This window comes from Homo sapiens, chromosome 15 (genome assembly GCF_000001405.40).
Source record: "Homo sapiens chromosome 15, GRCh38.p14 Primary Assembly".
NCBI classification, from domain to species: domain Eukaryota; kingdom Metazoa; phylum Chordata; class Mammalia; order Primates; family Hominidae; genus Homo; species Homo sapiens.
This window is the reverse complement of record NC_000015.10, coordinates 61,530,144-61,549,960: the sequence shown is the minus strand read 5'-3', so window position 1 is coordinate 61,549,960 and position 19,817 is coordinate 61,530,144. Positions and strand designations below refer to the sequence as shown.

Genomic DNA, 19,817 nt, shown 5'->3' with positions numbered 1-19,817 from the left:
GAGAGTAAACTGGCCCTTTGACCCTGACCTGCTTGGTCAATGTCTGGACTCTGGGTCCTCTATTCAACAGCCTAGGTCGTGAACCACTTGGTCTGGCCTGTTTCACATAGCATGTATTCCTGAGTGTCCAATACCCCATTTCTTGGCCCATGGAAGAGCTAAAAAAATATAGACCTCAGAGCAGATCAACTTGATTTCAAATCCACTCTGCAGCTCTGGCCAAGTGCATAACCTTTTTGAACCTTTGCTTTGTAATTATAAAATGGGTATTGTGATCTATAATATAGAAGATTTGTGATGATGACTGAAAATATGAGTAGAACCCCTGGCACATATAAACCCTTCAGAAATGGTAGCTTATTATGTCTATCATCACTATTCAGGGTCTCATTTTCCTCTCCAGAGCAGTGAAAAGAAATTTAGGAATTATAGGCATTTGATGACCAGAAAAATGTGAGCAAGTCTCCAAGTTCCACTTCTTAAAACGTTAGCAGAGGGTGAGGTTGAGTGAGACCCTGAGAAGTAGAATGGGCAGGCCACAGACCCTCTGAGTCTTGGGCCGTGAAGGTTCATGAAACCAAATGAGACAGCACCGATAAAGTGTCTTGTCTTGTGCTCATAAGTGTGTTCCTTGAGTAACAGGTGCCGTGACTGTGCCCCAGGAGTGGTCAATCAAAGTTGTCTGTCTCCTTCAGAAAACCATTTCACAAGCTGAATGAAACAAACTTGAGAAACTCCACTGGTACATACTTTCAGAGAGGTGTATCTCAAATCATCTTTATTTCATTATGAATTAGCCCAGTTAATGCCAATCTCTAAAGTCTGATAGAAATTTAACCAACATCAACAACAGAAATTATAGACATCCTAAAATATTCCTCCAAGAAGAAGGTAGAATGCTGACTATTCCCACCAGCTTAATTGTTTGCTGTTGCGATTAATTGGCTAATTTATAAAATTTATTATTCCCTTCTGGCCAGTGGAGCTTTTCTGTTGAGGAACGCAGTAGATGTAATTTGGGTTTTAAAACCAAAAATGGAGATGAAGCCAAAAGCTCATAAAAGATTCTAGATCTCAAAAGGACTCCTGCTCAGCCTGAGTTAGGTTAGCTCAGCCTGAGTTAGGTTAGGTCATCCTGGGGATACGTGTCCCTGTATTAGCCAGAGATGAGGGAGGGGAGAATAACTGTGAGCAGATGCTGGCCTTCCCGAGGTCCACCCCGGGTGAAGAGCGTGGACATTATCTTTCAGATGCATAGGGGATGCTATACTGGAAGCTTATCTCTTCCAGTTGGCAGCCAAGAGCATAGCAGCCTGGAGGGGCAGCCCATCTGTCCCCTGTGCTCTGCACACTTGGAGGCATTTCTCCCCAAAGTAGAAAAAATGTGAAGCCCATAAACAATCAGGACATCTGCCAGTGTTCTGGGGCAGTGGGACAAGCCATCCAGGAAATCCAAGTGATCTTTTTCTAAGGGCTATTTTGTATATTTCTGATGATTCAAGGGCAACTTAGGGAAGGCTCTGAAATCAGCACATTTTTGTGGTGCCCTGTAGCTTATGAACATGTCCTAGGCTGCCTGGCACCATGGACTTTGGAAGCTCTGCCACAGTGGGAACCTTCCCTCGTGCCTCTTTGTCGGTGTGGGTCAGGTGCTCCAGATCACAGTGCCATCTGCTATCACCCAGACTGGAGTACAGTGGCAGAATCACAGCTCATTGCAGCCTCCGCCTCCTGGGTTCAAACAATCCTCATGCCTCAGCCTCTGAACAGCTGGGACTACAGGCATGTGCCATCATGCCAGACAAATTTTTTTTTTTTTTTTACTTTTTATTTTTAGTAGACATGGGGTCTTGCTATGTTGCCCAGACTAGTCTCGAACTCCTAGGCTCACACAGTCTTCCTGCCTTGGTCTCTCAAAGTGCTGGGATTACAGGTGTGAGCCACCCTGTGCAACCATGAAGAGCTACTTGATTGGCCTTCAGGAAAGCCAACTTGGGTGAAATCTTCATTTATTTAATAATGATTAGGTTTTAAGTTAAACTAGGCAGAGTTTCTTGCCCTTACTGGGCGATGAGCCCCTGCAGGTTCTATCCATGTTCTATCTGACTTTGGGAGGGCCTGATACATACCAGGTACTCAATAATGTTAGATGACAGATGGCTATCTCCAGCAGAAGGATAAAGTGGAAGACTATCTATCTCCAGCAGAAGGATAAAGTGGAAGACTATCTCCTTGTTTCTATCCTACCTGACTATATTGCCAAAAATAGATTTTTCTGCTTTCCATGACACAATTGAAAGTCCATAGATAACTGGAGTGCCTGGGTGTGTCCTGTGAGGATGGTTAGGATGTACAGGTGCATCAGCTCTTTAATTCTTCCAGTTATAGGTCTCTATGACTTCTAAAGGAATCAACATGTATGTGGGACAGCTTCTGGAATTGCAGGCATAATTCCTAGAAATTCATTAACTGTGAACTGGAGACTGTACTAGGTGCTGATGGAAAACAAAGATGAACAGAGAGAATCTTTGCTCATAAATTGCTTGCAGTCCAGAGTGGGAGGCAGTCACTTAAACAAGTGAGTAAAATGAAGTGCAAAAAAAGATCCAGTAGAGGTATCTCAGAGTGCCACGGAAGTGCCAAAGAGAGATTGGCAGGGGCGAGGAAAGCTTTTTAAAAGATGTGAAATGTGAACTGGTTTCTCATAGATGAGTAGGAGTTTGCTGGAAGAAAGAGAATGCCATTTTAGGCATCAGGACCAGCATATAAAAGTTCCCAGGAACATTCAAGGCCATGGCAATTTGGAGAATAGTGAAACCTCCTTATTGTTGGGCATGGGGAGCAAGTGCCCTGGATAGAGCAAAGAGGTGGGCTCAGGCCACATGCTGGGGGGCTTGGTGTGCAAGGATGAGACCTTGGACTTTATCTGATGAGATTTTTGTATTCATTCATTCACCCAATAAATATTTATTGAAAGCCTATCATGTACCAGGCACTGTGTTAAATATCAGAGCCTCATATGAGCAAAAAATATTCTAGTGGGGTGACAGACAGACAGTGGGGAAGCCAACAAACAAATGAAGAAGGTAATAGTAGACTGTAATGAGGGCTATGAAGAAACTAAGTAGGGTTGTGAGAAAGAAATACTGGGGCAATCTCTTCAGATGAAAAAAGACATGGGCCGGGCGCGGCGGCTCACGCCTGTAATCCCAGCACTTAGGGAGGCCGAGGAGGGTGGATCACGAGGTCAGGAGATTGAGACCACGGTGAAACCCCATCTCTACTAAAAATACAAAAAATTAGCCGGGCTTGGTGGCGGGTGCCTGTAGTCCCAGCTGCGCGGGAGGTTGTGGCAGGAAAATGGCGTGAACCCGGGAGGCGGAGCTTGCAGTGAGCCGAGATCGCACCACTGCACTCCAGCCTGGGTGACAGAGCGAGACTCCATCTCAAAAAAAAAAAAAAAAAAAAAAAAAGACATGAAAGGTCTCCTTTAGGGAGTTAGGGTGACATTTATACTGTGTCCTAAGTCATTCAGCCAGAATAGATTGAAGGGGGTGAAGTTTGTAAGAAGGGCAGTTAAGAGGCTGGTGCAATTGATCAGGAAGGGCTTAGAGAAGAGGGGAGGAATACGCAAGATATTTCAGCATGAGATTTTACAGCTCTCAGTGCACCAGGTAAAGGAGAGGTATGTGTTGTGGTGACCTCTGTGTAATGCCTCGGGCAACGGGCTGAGGTATTAATGCCATTAAAAACATAGTGGACAGTTGAATACGAAGCTCAGGAGAGGGCTGGAGTTTCGGAGATCACAGCACATAAGTGGTAACAGATGCCCATCAGTCAGGCCACGCCACACATTGCACGAATTTGGGATCTCCCTTTCGTCATCCCATTTTTGCTGATGGTGACATTGTGTTCCCAACAGCAATAACAATGCTGCTTCCATGCGTCTGCAGCTTTCAGCACCTTGGAGACTGGTAGGCAGATTACAATAGATTCTGTAGCCCCAGTTCTTCCCAGTTTGCTTCAGAGCTCTGGGCAGTGTTGCTAATGGAATGTCAAGCTGCAGGTCAGCATAGCATAGTGGAGATAAGGATGAATATATTGTGAGTGGATCATTAGCTTCAGAGCCCACAGAACATTCACCCTAGGGAACCTGCTCTGCGTGTTTGTATTTATATTCTTACAAATGTTATTCCTTGGTGGAGACTAGGACTCTCTCAGGCTGTTAGAGGTGGAAGGGTCTGGGGGGTTGCTCTGGTCCAGCATCCTGCTTTCTCAAATGATAAAGGTTAACATTAGCACCATCTAACAGATGAGGCACACCAAGGTCTAGAAAGTTCGAGAGCCATTTCCTATGTTGATCAGCTAAGACATTGCATGTGTGGACTGGGAACTGACTTTAGGCCCAGCGCCTTTTCCATGATGCCATAGCCTCAAATTGGAGGAAGAACTTAGGGCAGGCAGCGGTAGACCCCAGGCCAGCATAGGGATCGTGGTGGCTGCTGCCATGCTTCCTAAAGTGAACCAAAGTCCTGCAGGGCCTCAGCTGGCAGGGGTCTTTGAGAGTATCTGGAACAGCTCCACAAGTGTACAGACAGAGCACTGAGGTCCTGAGGCAGAACTTTCCCAAGTTCACATAACTGACAACAGAGAACATGGATGGAGGTGTGCTTCTCCACACAATGGTTCTTCCCTCGGCTGCACAGCAGAGTCTCCCGGGAGCTTTTCAAACTTGGCCTCACTCAGAGGTTCTGGTTTAGTTGGTCTTGGGCAGAACCCAGGCATAGTTCAACCAGGGTTAAGAACCGCTGTCTATTCCAATGACTACCTCAAGACTTACAACCCACTCTCCCTTAAAATATCTGCCAAAATGTTGACAGATTTCCACAGTCTTGAGTTTGTGGAGTCCCCACTTATCAAGATGCGCCACACAGTTGCAGACTCACTGAGTTTACTGCTTGGTTCTGGGGACTGGGACAATTTCCAAAGGCCATCAACAATAATAAAAGTAAGTATCTGTGAACTAGAAGAAAGAACTAAAAAAAAGATACAGGTATCAAGCAAAGTGTTGAAGCCATGAATTTCTTATTAAAGAAGAGCCCTAAAGTCACCTCTTTCCCTTAAACATCGTATAACCTCGTTGGCTCTTGTCACCTTTGAAATAAGGATTATGAATCCCAACCTCCCTCCCTTGTAGAGCTTTTAGGAGACACAAACAGGACAAGGACTCCCTCAGGATTTTACAGTTCCCTTCAGGAAGCATCGATGATTTAACCCAAGTCTGCCAGTCCTGCATGCTTCTCCTCTACCTGTTTATAGCCAGCATCTTCTTTAGGGTACCTTGTCAGCTCAGCTCTCTGAAGTTGGCCACTGTCAAATGTTAGTTCTCCGTAGTTCCTAAGGAAATTTCTCCCTGGCCCTGCAAAGACTCCCCCACACCCACCCACATCTCCAGCATCTCCTTTTTTCATCTCAAGCTATGCCATTAACACTTTGGTCTCTTTCTGTTCCCTAGGAGTAAGATCCCTTTCCTTTCTGCTACAGAGTCTTTGCACACACTGCCGTCTCAGCCTGGAAAGCACTCAGCACTGTTCTAATTTGTCATTTATTTGTATGATTATTCAATTAATATATGCTTCCTCACATTATATTGTAAGAGTTTGGAGGGCAGGTACTAGAATTCTTTGTTTATCGATGTATCTCTGGTGCCTAGTACAGCGCCTGGCACATAGCAGATGGTCAATACATATTTATTGAATTGATGACTGAATAAATGAATGAATGAGTCACAACTTGTTTTGGAGATTTAATGGAATAGTATGTATAAAAGCACTTTGTGACCTATAAAATTATTATCATGGTTTTGATTAGGCTGCCTTGTTAGGATGCTTGTTCCTTGCTGCGAAAACACTGTAGAGACACACTGGCTGGGACCAGGCATTAGATGTGTTAGGCATAAAAGATTCTGATTACCAGAAGGTTGTCACGTCCATCTGGGCCTGTCCCATCCTTGTTTACATCAACACAGACTCATTTAAAGGAAAGAAATAGATGCCAGAAATGGGTAATTTCTGTCCTCAGCTGTAGGATCCTCAGTTAGTTTGCTGAGATGGTTTCAGAATGGAATTTAACATTTCTGCACACCCTCAAGTACCAGGAATTCTTCGTATAGTCATGCACTATATAATGACAACTTGGTCAATGACAGACTTCACGTACAACAGTGGTCCCCTAAGATAATGGAGCTAAAAATTCCTATCACCTCGTGACGTCTTGATGATCCTAATCCTGTGGAGGCCCAGGCTAATGCGTGCGTTTGTGTCTTAATTTTTAACAAAAAGCTTTATAAGGTAAAAAATGTTAAAAACAGAAAACAGCTTATAGAATAAGGATATATAAGGAAATATTTTTGTGTAGGTGTTTTAAGCTGTGTTATTATGAAAGAGTCAAAAAGCTAAAAATTAAAAGTTTATGAAGTAAAAAAGTTATAGTCGACTAAGGTTAATTTACTATTGAAGAAAACATATTTTTATAAATTTAGTGTAGCCTAAGTGTACAGTGTTTATAGAGTCCACAGTAGTGTACACACAGTAGTGTCCACAGTATGTCCTAGGCCTTCACATTCACTCACCACTCGCTCACTCACTCACTCACACAGAGCAACTTCCAGTCCTGCGAGCTCCATTCATGGTAAATGCCCTGTACCAGTGTACCATGTTTGATCTCTTATACGGTATTTTTAGTGCATCTTTTCTATGTTTAGATGTGTTTAAATACACAAATACTTCCCATTGTGTTACAATTGCCTATAGTATTCAGTACAGTAACTTGCTGTACAGGTGAGTAGCCTAGGAGCAATAGGCTATACTGTACAGCCTAGGTATACAGTAGACTATACTGTCTAGGTTTGTGTAAGTACACTATGATGTTCACACAACAACATCGCCTAATGACCATTTCTCAGAACATATACCTGTCATTAAGTAACACATGACTGTATTGCCATTTAGTTAATCTTTGCAGCAATTTGGAAGGCAGACATTACCCAACCTTATAGAAAATGGAGGGAGATTTAAAAAATTTGCTCAAGGTCTAAAATGTAACAGTTAGTAAGTTGGTGGTGTAGAATGCAAACCAGAGCATGTCTGTGATCTTTCTACTGCATGTGCTGGCTCTTTAATAAAATCCAAGTGGCCAGTGCACAAGCAGACCTCGATGGAAGAAACCCAAATCTTGGCCTATTAACAGATAGTAAATCTGAACCACAGAGAGGTTCAAGTAATTTCCTCCCAGAGTAACAGTAAAAGATTACAGTGCATTTGGGGGGCTTGAACCCAGATCTTGACTATCCCAGCCTAATGATATTTAAATTATGCTTGTCTGACATAAAAATATATTGCAACTTGCTAAAAAATGTACTGCCTGCTGGAAAGTGCTGTCAGTTGCTTCCATTTTCGTCTTTCTCCTCATCTTGTTCTGCTTCACATTACTCTGAAAGATACTGCAGAGCCCCATTAAGCATGTTTTGACATCTGTTACTTTTAAAAATCTTACTTGTGTTTTTTATTAACTATTTTTATTGAAAAAGTAATACACGCATGGTAGAAAATTCCAGACAGTACAATAGGGCATATGGGAAAATGTATGTCTCTCTCTTGCTCACAGATGCCCTCCCACTATTACCACTTTCTTGGACATCTTTCTGGAAATAGTCTACATAGATGCAAATATATTTCTATACATATGTGGTGTGTGTGTGTGTATATATATATGTGTGTGTGTATATATATGCATATGTATATATATGCATATATAGTTATGCATGTCTCTTCTAATGGCCAAAAATAATTCTATGTTTTGCAGAAGTGATAATGTGTATCATCAAACATTTCTCTCTAATCCTACCCAAATTCTTATTTCAAACTCTTAATTGCCTTCTATTTATTTATATGGTTGGGATTCGTTATTGGAGGTACAAGGAACTTGGCAGCACCCAGGCATTTGGCAAGAACCCTTCCTTTTCTTATAGTAGTAATTAAAAGCCTGTTCCAAAATGAAATGAATCTGGTAGTTCAAATGAGTAGATATTTGTTAAACTAATACAAGTGCCCTGGTGTGGTCCAAGCAGCAAGGAAAGCAGAGAATCAGGGGCTTGGCTGTTCCATCAGCAGCGTGGTCCTCAATAAGCCACTTCATCTCTTTGAGATTCAGTTTCCCTACCAAAAAGTTTGAAAAGCTAGGCTAGGCACTTTGCCAGGTTCCTTCCTTCCTACTCTGCCACTTTATGGCTCTGGGAATTCTGGAGAAGAAAATGCCAGGCTGGAAATAGGGAACCAGAGAATTTACCACATACTAGTCTTTAATTCTGTTGATCAAGTATTTCTATCTCTTTTGAGTATGTAGTAGGATGACACTCTCACTTCCTGGGATGTCAGCCATAGCCATGTGACTCACTGGTGGTCCATGAAATGTAAGTGGACACGATATGCTTCAGTCTCAGGCAGAAGCTTTAACAGCCAGCACGTGATTCTCCATGTTCTTTTTCTGTCTCAGCATTTGGGGACACAGTGAGATGCAGCCTCCTTCAGTCTGGGTCTCTAAGTGAGGACAGAATAGCAGTTGGCCCACAATGAGCCTATAGCATGAGCAAGAAACAAACCACTGTCATTCAAGGCAATGAAATTTGCGGATGGTTTGTTATTGATGTTCACTCTAGCATAGGTTTACCAATATACACACGTCTTATTTTATTTTATTGTGCTTTACTTTTGTATTGGTCAGGATTCCCTAGAGGGACAGAACTAATAGAATATATATGAGTTTATTAAGTATTAACTTATAACTTACATGATCACAAGGTCCCAAAATAGGCTGTCTGCAAGCTTGAGGAGCAAGGAGAGCCACTCCAAGTCTCAAAACTGAAGAACTTGGAGTCTGACATCAGAGGGCAGGAAGCATCCAGCATGGGAGAAAGATGTAGCCTGGGAAGCTAGGCCCGTCTCCCTCCTTTTCATGTTTTTCTGCCTGCCTTATATTCACTGGCGGCTGATTAGATTGTGCCCACCAGATTAAGGGTGAGTCTGTCTTCCCCAGCCCACTGACTCAAATGATAATCTCCTTTGGCGATACCCTCACAGACACACCCAGGATGAATACCTTGCATCCTTCAGTCAAGTTGACAGTATTAACCACCATAACTTTATTGCACTTCAGAGATACTGCACTTGCTGTAAATTGAAGGTTTGTGGTGACCACGCATTGAACAGGTCTAATGGTGCCATTTTCCCACCAGCGTGTTCTCATTTTGTGTCTCTGTCACACATTGGTAACTGTTACAATATTTCAAAGTTTTTTTATTATTATGTTTGTTATGGTGATCTGTGATCAGTGATCTTTGATGTTACTATTGTAATTGTTTTGGGGCACTATGAACAGTACTCATATAAGACAACAAGTCAACAAGCTGATAAGGCATTTAATCAATAAAAGTTTTTTTTTGAGACAGAGTCTTTCTCTGTCACCCAGGCTGGAGTGCAGTGGCGCGAGCTCGGCTCACTGCAACCTCCGCCTCCTAGGTTCAAGCGATTCTCCTGCCTCAGCCTTCTGAGTAGCTGGGATTACAGGTGTGCACCCCTACACCCAGCTAGTTTTTTTTTTTTTTTTGTATTTTTAGTAGAGACAGGGTTTCACCATGTTGGCCAGGCTGGTCTCGAACTCCTGACCTTGTGATTCGCCTCGGCCTCCCAAAGTGCTGGGATTACAGGCGTGAGCCACTGTGCCTGGCCTAATCAATATAAGTTTTATGTGTTCTGAGTGCTCCACCAACTAGCCATTCCCATGTCTCTTTCCCTCAGGCCTCCCTATTCCATGAAACACAATACTGAAATTAGGCCAGGATTAAAACTCTACAATGGCCTCTAAGTGTTGAAGTAAAAGGAAGAGTCACATGTCTCTCATTTTAAGTTAAAAGTGAAAAATGATTAAGCTTAGTGAAGAAGGCATGCCAAAAACCAAGACAGACCAAAAGGTAGGCCTCTTGCACCAGTTAGCCAAGTTGTGAATGCAAACAAAAAGTTCTGGAAGGAAATTAAAAGTGCCACTACAGGCCAGGAGTGGTGGCTCATGCCACCAGCACTTTGGGAGGCCAAGGCAGGTGGATAGCCTGAGGTCAGGAGTTCAGGACCAGTCTGGCCAACATGGTGAAACCCCATCTGTAGTAAAAATACAAAAAATTTAGCAGGACATGGTGGCGTGCACCTGTAATCCCAGCTACTCAGGAGGCTGAGGCAGGGGAATCGCTTCCTGGGCGACAGAGCGAGACTCCATCTCAAAAAAAAGTGTCACTACGGTAAACATACCAAAGATAAGAAAACAAAATAGGCTTATTGCTGATATGGGGAAATTTTGAGTGGTCTGGATAGAATATCAAACCAGCCACAGCATTCCCTTAAGTCAAAGCCTAATCCAGAGCAAAGCCCTAACTCATTTAAATTCCGCAAAGGCTGAGAGAGGTGGGGGAGATGTAGAAGAAAAGTCTGAAGCTGGTAAAGGTTGGTTCATGAGATTTGAGGAAAGATGCCATCTCCAGAACATAAAAGTGCAAGGTGAAGCAGCAAGTGCTGATGTAGAAGCTGCAGCAGTTATCCAGAAGTTCTAGCTAATATCATAGATGAAGGCAGCTACACTAAACAACAGATTTTCAGTGTAGACAAAGCAGCCTTCTATTGGAAGAATTTGCCAGTTAGGACTTTCATAGCTAGAGAGGACAAGACAATGCCTGGCTTCAAAGCATCAAAGAACAAGCTAACTCTCTTGTTAGGTGCTAATGCAGCTGGTGACTTTAAGTTGAAACCAATGTTCATTTACCATCCTGAAAAAATCCTAGTCCCCTTAAGGATTATGTTAAATCTCCTTTGCCTGTGCCCTAGAAATAAAACAACAAAGGCTTGAAGGCAGCACATGTGTTTACTGCATGGTTTCATTGACAGTGGACCTGGACCCCCCAAGAGTTCTGATGGAGATGTACCAGGAGGTTCATGTTGTTTTCAAGACTAACACAACACCCATTCTGTAGCCCATCGATCAAGGAGTCAGTTTGACTTTCAAATTTTATTATTGAAGGCATACATTTTGTAAGGCTATAACTGCCATTGATAGTGATTCCTTTGATAGACCTGGGCAAAGCAAATTGAAAGAGTTCTGGAAAGGATTCACCATTCTAGATGCCATTTAAGAACATTAGTGATTCATGGAAGGAGGTCAAAATATCAACATTAACAGGTATTTGAAAGACATCCATTCCTTTTTTCAAATCTTCTGAAAGATTCTAGCCCTCATGAATGATTTTGAGAGGTTCAGGACGTCAGAGGAGAAACTAACTGCAAATGTGGTGGAACTAGCAAGAGAACTAGAATTAGAAGTAGAGCCTGAAGATATGACTGAATTGCTGCAATCTCATGATATAATTTAAACAGATGAGTTGCTTCTTAGGGATGAACAAAGAAAGTGTTTCCTTGAGATGGAATCTGTGCTTGGTGAAGATGCTGTGAACATTGTTGAGATGACGACAAAGGATTTAGAATACCACCCAAACTTAGCTGATAAAGCAGTGGCGATGTTTGAGAGGATTGACTCTAATTTTGAAAGAAGTACTGCTGTGGACAAAATGCTGTCAAGCAGCATCATGTGCTACAGAGAAAGATTTCATGAAAAGAAGAGTCAACTGATGCAACAAACTTCACTGCTGCCTTATTTTAAGAAATTGCCACATCCATCCCAACCTTCAGTACAGTCACCTTGATCCATCAGCAACCACTAATATCAAGGCGATACCTCCCACCAGCAAAAAGGTTATGACTCTCTGAAGGCTCAGATGATCGTTAGCATTTTTTTTTAGCAATAAAGTATTTTAAAATAAGGTGTGTGTACTGGTTTTTAAAACATAATGCAATTGCACACATGATACACTACAGCATAGTGCAAACATAACTTTTATATGCACTAGGAAAACTAAAAAATTTGTGTGACTTGCTTTATTGTGGTGGTCTGGAACTCAATATCTCCGAGGTATGCCTGTATCATGGAAGTGCCAGAAGTGTTTCTGAAAACTCAAAAACTTCGGAGCAATGACAGGAATCTCCCAGTATGCATTTAGCTCATTTTGCTCTCATGAAGGATTTTTCAGTGATCTTCCTGTTCGTTTTTAATTCTTAGTGGAATTTGTAGTTGTCTTTCTCCTGCTCTTTCCTATCATCTTTCTTCTTTTTTTTATTCTTCTCTGTTCCCTTTTAATATGTTTCCTAAGCTTTTGACCTGTTTCCCTATTTTATATTCCATCTTCTGAGAGCTCACTCTCTCCTCTCCCCTTCCCTCCTGTGCCTCTTTTCCCTACAAAGCCTTTTCTTGACACTTATCCCCTGACAATTGCTTCCCCGGGTCTGCCTTTCAGCTTTATAAAGCCCCATGTGGTCTCTACTTTCAGTCGCTTTCATGCATCTTTCTTCTTTCTTTTGGATCCTATCTAATCTGCTTTGTCTGAATTCTCTAATCAAACTGACAAACACCTCCTCAAATACCTTTTGAGCCATCCTCATCCTCCCTGACCTACCTAGTGCCCCCGATATGGCAGATGACACCTTCTTTCTCCTTTGATAACTGTCAATTTCAGTAATCTTTCATTTCTGAGGTTTTTTTCCCCAAATTATGGAGATACACTTTTATTTCAACTCAGCAGACGTTTCTCAAGTCTCTACCAAGAATGGGTCACTGGGCTGGCAGTGAGAAACCCCAAGGCTATCTGGCAATCAGAAATAGGGTCGAGGAGTAATATACCATGTGAGCACTGGAATTATTCCTGGAAAAAGTAAGTCAGACCATTGAGAGTTGTGAGAACAATCTGTCAGTATAGATCCAGCTCCAGTTTATATGTACCAGGCAATTAGCAGGTGTCAGGTCAAAGGATAAGCAGAGCTAAGTGAGCACATACCTGACTCAGAGCGGTGGTCAGGAGTCAAGGTCAGAAACTTAGGGAAGCAGATGTGTTAGGAAATGGGACTTTGAAGAGGAGCTGGGGGATTGTATAACCAAATTCTGATGGTCAGGGTTCTTCTGGAGACCCCATTAAAGAGCAAGGAGGCATCTTCAAGGTCCTGCTGTAGTCTGATTTAAAGGTGCCACCTGGCAACTGACACAAACCAACAGGAGAGGTGAACGTACATGCAGCTTACCCCAATCCAAAATGAATTGAGATCCCTGCCACACGAGAGCTAGAAACAGTTTGCCATTCCTTCACTAATTAATGCAAGGGAAGCCTTCCTTCTGACTGGGGCAGGTGGTCAAGTGAAGAAGGCTCCATGGAGGAGATCTGAGTTGGCCTCATCCACAAAATGACAGCAGTAATCCCTATCACGCAGGTGATGGTGAGGAGTAACAGAGTAAGGACATGCAAGGTGGGGGGTTGGGTACATGGAGCTTGGCGCATATTTGTGGAATTTCATCAGCTATGGAACAGCTGTAGAGGAGGGACAAGGAATAAGTCCCTTGGTTTTCCTCTTTGAAACCCTGACTTTTTTCTCCTTCCTTTGAGATTCCGCTCATCCTAGATGGTAGCCTTAGGCATGATGCTCCTGAGGTAGGCTGTCATCTGGAAATGAAGGGGGCCAATTTTCAAAGTGGCTAAGAGTCTGGAGTCAGATCACCTTAGCTTGCCATTCACTAACTGGGTGAGCCCAGGAAGTCACTTTATCTACTTAATCCTTCATTTTTTCATCTGTATAAGGAGAACGATTATGTTCTTATAGTGAAGATTGAATGAGATGATGCTTAGCATAGTCCTAGCACAAGGAAAGTGTTTTACAAATTACTTCTGATTATAACTAAATGTATTCAGCAACAGAGCTAAGTCAAGAGGACAGAAGCCACTTTATATATTTCAAACAAAAGGACGGAACACAGGGAATCGGGCGCTTTCAGAAGCTTTGTAAGGACCAGCTGGATAAGTTGAAACAAGGGGTCAGCCACTGGCTTTCAGCTTTACCACCAAGCTGTGATTCTGAGAATCAGGAAGCTATCACCACCTCCCAGGGGTCAAGAAACTGCAGAAAACCTCTACAGGCGGTGTTCACAGGTGGCCCTGTAACCCCTGCCAGTCAGAGGAACATGGATGCGACTGATAACATGCGGCTAAAGCCATGTGTTCACCCGCCCTGCCTGAGGAACAATGGCTTCTACTTCTACCACTCATATGAGTGCATCTTGCGGGGAGAACTGCAACCGTATCAGGAACCCTGCTGGCACAGGAGTCTGAACAATGCAGTTCCCAGCCATCATTCCCCTGAGACACTGGGAGGGCATAAGGGGGTGGTAAAGATGCACTTGTCAACAAGTGATACCCAGCACTCAGAGGATGTGCCTGGATCAGAAATTCCAACAATGGACCGAAAGGCATCGTTCTATTTCCCTCCATGCTCCATCACTGACACCCCCAGGGGACTGTGGCTCTCTTCCTTTGAGCTTCAGTGGAACTTGAATCTGAGCCTCCAGTCGATTGGAGGTCCTTACTTGGCTGCTCTAGGGTGTCTGGCTGAACTCAGGGAGTGTCCACTGTCACGTTCAGTGCCCCTCCCTGCCACAGAAAGGTCAGTTTCTTTGTGTCATCTATGCCAAATACATTTACAGTGTTTTGGATCCAGCTACACAAACTTTGGACTGGAAGGGAGACAGTTTTAGCTCTCAGAATGCTCTAGCAACATATGATTCTCCTCCACAAAGTGCCTCCCATATGTCTGGGCAGATTTCCCACGCTTCTCTTTCCTGTGAAGCAGTTTAAGTTGACCGAGAGGCAGCAGCATGGTGCTCCTGTCTTAAACCAGCCACCCTTTGGCTATGGGACCCTGAAAAAGTTGCTTCCCATTTGGGGGCCTTGATGGTTGCAAGCACAAAATTTGAGTGTTAAGTTAAATGTTCTCTGGGCTCTCTTCCAGTCTTGATAATGCATTGTTATTGGAGGCAGTGGGGTGTTGTGGTTAGAGCATAGGGTGGCTCACAGTCAGGGCTAAGGAAACCTCTGGCATTATGATTATTATCTTCACTCACTCTGTTGCTGCCTAAACCCCCATCCTTCCACCTTGGTAAGGACCCTTGGGTCAGAGTCCACAAGAAAACCACCTTACCTAGAGTCTACCTTGCCACCGTCAGCACCCAGTTCAGACACTGCCCGTACGCATAGATGTCTTTGCTGAGGGCTGGGGTACCAAGGCGATACTGGGCACATCCATGTTAGGACAGAGACATGTCATGGCTCATTTTCGCCTTTGCGGCCCTCTTTGTTTGTAAGACGCTTGTTGTCTGAAGGCAGCTAAATTTAGCCATATTTTGTCAGCTAGAATGTACGCACTGAAGAGAAGGCTAGCAAATCTTAGCCATGTCACACTTTATTAGTCATGCGAGCCCTTAAAAGCGCGCTAGAAGAACCACTTCTTGGGATTGGTGCTAGCAGTGCTGAGAAATGCTGCACGGACTGTTTTGGGATTTACATCAAGAAGCAAGATGGAGGGAAAGCGTGAAATCTCCTAAACAATGAGTGGTTTGTTTTTTTTTTTAACTTTCTTGCAAAATTGACAAATGGGATATTCAAATGAGGAGAGAATGTATGGAGTGGGATAGTGTTCATGTGGCCTCTTTCTCTGACATGCCGTCTTAACCTACCCTCCCCACCAACACCTCCATTTGAATTCAGAAATACAGTTTAGTTGCTGGTACTGGGTTAACTATGTAAGATACAAGTGGAGAGAGAAACTAATCTTTGTTGAGTATCTACTTTGATATAGGTGCTTTATGTTCATCACTTCTTTTCATTTTAAAAATGATGCAATAAGGTGAGTAGTGTGACTCTCATTTATTAAACAAGAAACTGAAAGTAAGGTGAATAACAAGAGCCAGGTTGTAAATCCAGTTTGCCTAAATTTAAAGGCCATATTCTTTCCACAACAAGGGTCAGGGTAAGGACATTGAGGAATTCAACTTAACGGTGACTGAAATGGACCCCTCTCTGCCTTGATATTAGCTTCCTTTTTCAGTGTGCATGGCTCTGTCAGTGCTGTGCAATTTCAGCCCGCAAGGCTCAAGGGTCAGGATATATGTTCAAGCAAAAGCTGCACATCTCCAGCTCTCAAATAGTCTCCATGGGGTTTGGCCCAGGTTGGTTTGGCAGTTGCTGAACAAAATCTCCCGTCTGTAAAAAGAGACATGTGTCTGCTCTTCCATAAGGCCCACAAAATGAAAAGGCAAACCCCTCTGCTATCCAGGGGAAAAAGGAACTCTCTACAGCTTTTGTTCATCTGCGATTCTATGGCAGGTTGACAATTTCAACCCTCTCCTTAACAAACCCTTCCTGTAAAATTTCTGGAGTTTCTAAATAAAGATAAATGCTTAATTCAATATGACAAGATGCCTCCAAGCATCCTGCAAAGAACAATGGCTTCCGTGTCCCGACCCCACCACATCTCCCGTTTCCTGGGAATTCAAGGCTCAATAAAAACACCAGTCTGGATTGTCTGAGGCCTTTTCTCTCATCTAGAAAAGCATAATGAGATTCACTACCCTCTGTGAATGGCATCTCAGAATGTTAGTGATAGGAGGAGCCATGGAGCTATAAAAATTAAGTCCATGGAAGTGAAATGATCCATGCAAGGTTTGACTGCTAATTAGTGACAGAGCCTGGGTTATACCCAGGCCTTCTGACTTGAAGGTCAACAGGTAACAGCATGGTAAAATTGAAGAAGGAAGCCTCTACCCTAAACTCTACCTCTTTACAAGCTACATGACCTCAGGAAACTCTCAACCTCTCTGAGTCTCCATTTATTTATCCAAAACAGGATAAAGGGTAGAGAGGATTAGTGATAATCAGGTATCCAGCTACATACCTGTCATGTAGTAGATGCTCAATAAATGGTAGCTAGTATTATTAAGGAGTAAAAACACTGAGGGATGTAGGAGTTCAGGGAAAGAAGATGAGCTTACTAGAGGAGTAAGGAAAGACTGCTTAAAGAAGGGCAATGATTGGCCGGGTGCGGTGGCTCACACCTGTAATCCCAGCACTTTGGGAGGCTGAGGCGGGTGGATCATCTGAGGTCAGGAGTTCGAGGCCAGCCTGACCAATATGGAGAAACCCCATCTCTACTAAAAATACAAAAAATTAGCCAGGCGTGTTGGTGCATGCCTGTGATCCCAGCTACTCAGGAAGGCTGAGGCAGGAGAATCACTTGAACCCTGGAGGCGGAGGTTGTGGAGAGTCAAGATTGTGCCACTGCACTCCAGCCTGGGCAACAAGAGCAAAACTCGGTCCCCCTGCCCCCCAAAAAAGGGGGCAATGATTTAGGCCTTGAAGACCAGAGGATATTTGGATGGGAAGTAAGAACAGGTAGGACATTCTTGATTAGGGCAATGAAGTAAGGAAAAGCTTGTAGGCAAAAAAAAAAAAAAAAAAAAAAAAAAAAAAAAAAAAAAAAAGCTAACAGCCAATTTAAGAACAATGAGTAAGTTGTTTGACCGCAGTAATAGGGTCAGGAAAATAAGTTGCTGAAGATCAAACTGCAAAGATTAGATTGAGGGAGACCTGAACATCATGCTAAGGAAGTTGGACCTGTGGATACGTGGGAAACTTTGAAGAAAGAGCTTCGACCAGAGGAATTAGTGAATACAGCAAATCAGTCTGGTAATGACATGGCGGGGGTGAACTGGAATAGGGAGCTGCTGGAAGTTAGAATAGTCGAAAGATTCCTACAGCAGGCCAGGCAGGAGAAGAAGAAAGCAAAGGAAAGTTGTGGCAGCTGAAATGAGTAGGAAAAGATGAGTGTGAATGATATTTTAAAGGAAAAGTTGGCAGGAAGAATCAATACTATTGTAGGAAAGAGAATTTAATTAGCTTTGTAAAGTGGAGAGGGAATATTCATGGCTTTTTGGGTTGAGCACTATATTTTAAAGAAAAGGTGTCCCAATCCACACATCTAAGAGAAAAGGAGCATGACAAATGGTTAAGCCAAAATGACTAAAAGACTTTAACAAATGATAAAATGAACTCAAATGAAGATTAAATGTTCAAGATCCGCAAGTCTTGGCTCAAACATAACTCCTTAGGGTTAACTTTCAATATGCATCTTGGTGATTCTTCAAAGTCTTTTCACTAATGGCAGACCTAGTTGCTGAAAAATGATGGTTGCATATTAAATTGGTAGCATATATAGCCTTTGCTCTCTTTTCCCTTATTTCTACAGGGAGGCTCATGGAGTCTAATTGAGCCTTTCTTAAATGATTTTTTTTTCTAACTTAATAGTAATGCTCAGAGCTACCTTTCTCAAAGAGTGTTTAGCAAAATGCTGGACCCTTGAGCTGTTCCTTAAGGAAGGGTCTATATTAATTGTCTCCTATCAGTCACAGACCAGAAAGGTGATAGAAACCTACCAGTCATTTGAACAGAAGGAATTTAATATAAAGGTATAAAATCATTAACCAAGCAACTGAAGATGTAGAAGCACACCAAGTTATCACAGAGGTAGCAAATGCAGGAAGGAGTGTTCACCCCTAGGGTTAGTATTACTAAATATACTAGCTGGTGTCCATAGGGCTGATTCTTTTAAATCCTATAAGCTTGTGGGAAAGCACCACAGAGCTGAAGCTTTGATCTCTGAGGAGGGGGTGCCACTTGTTGGGTGCTAGACTCTGAGCTCAAAAGAAGAGAGGCACCGAGGGTCTAGGATCCAGACCTCTGAAGTAGGGGTACCAGTCACCTGGTGGGGGAACCTCTTATGCAAGAGGCTGGTTCTGTAAGTGTTGAGAAAGAAACAAACTATTCAGCTGGGGCTACAAAAGTACTTGCTGCTGTCAATGGGAAGCACTGCTAGGATGCTTACAGGCAGGAAACAGGCAGGAAACATACAGGAAGTCCCTCCTGCATTCTCCCCATCCCCATCCACCAGCACCCCTTAGTGGCAGAGTTTAACAGGGAATCTGGCGGGCTGAAATGAGGTTTGCAGAGTTGTAATCCCAGCACTACAGGCAGAGTTGAGGGGGGGGGGGGTGGCATTTACAGCTGAGACAAAACAGTTTAATAACGGGGCACATACCACTTTCTGTATCATCCTCTTGGATAGTCACTGTGTATATTAAAGGTCCTGAACAGTTCTAGAGAAAAATGAGTTTGTATAACTGGGCATTCCTCACTGTGTGCTGGGAGTCTTCCCATTCCCCACCCCCTTCCCCGATATAATGAAATGCAAATGTAAAAACAAATGGGCTGGATATATACATAGTGACATAGAAAGAGACCCATTATGAATTACTTTACTTTTATATGAAAAACAAATATATGTTTATATAAAAACAGAAAAAGGCCAGAGGCTAGACACCAAACTGTAAACAGTGGTTATCATCTGCCAGGGTGGGTATTTGTTATGGGGTTCTGTTCACTTTCTACCTCACTTGTCTCTAGTTAGGATTTTTCAACACGAATGTACATTGTTACATAATCAGAGAAGAAAGTTATATCACTTTTGGGAGGGGGAAGGAAAGAATCACCTAGAACCAATAGTCTTCAGAATGCCGTCAGGGTCCCTGTTAAAATGTGGCACCCAAAACTAACAGAATATTTTTGAAGAGAGGAGAGAAAGAAGGTAAGCGGCATCTACTCTACACCTACTACATCGCAAGCTGTTGAGAATGTGGCATAAATTATCCCATTTAGTCTCAGCAATCTGATTATTCCTATTTTTCAGACAAGGAACAAGACTCAGAAGTGTATGTATTTTGCTCAAGACCTAAAA

At 42.9% G+C, this 19,817-nt stretch overlaps 1 long non-coding RNA gene across 2 annotated transcripts in view, besides 1 other annotated feature; it reads left to right on the top strand.

Moving 5' to 3' along the window:
• LOC107984782 (uncharacterized) overlaps positions 1–19,817 on the top strand; it is a 208,325-nt gene that overhangs the window by 165,226 nt on the left and 23,282 nt on the right. The gene's annotated exons all lie outside the window — the stretch shown is intronic.
• Positions 12,288–12,789: an enhancer, noted in NCBI's record as "NANOG hESC enhancer chr15:61829371-61829872 (GRCh37/hg19 assembly coordinates)". NCBI's record gives its function as "activates a minimal SCP1, AML or CMV promoter by ChIP-STARR-seq in primed H9 embryonic stem cells {active_cell/tissue: H9 hESC(primed)}" and the evidence as "EXISTENCE:reporter gene assay evidence [ECO:0000049][PMID:30033119]".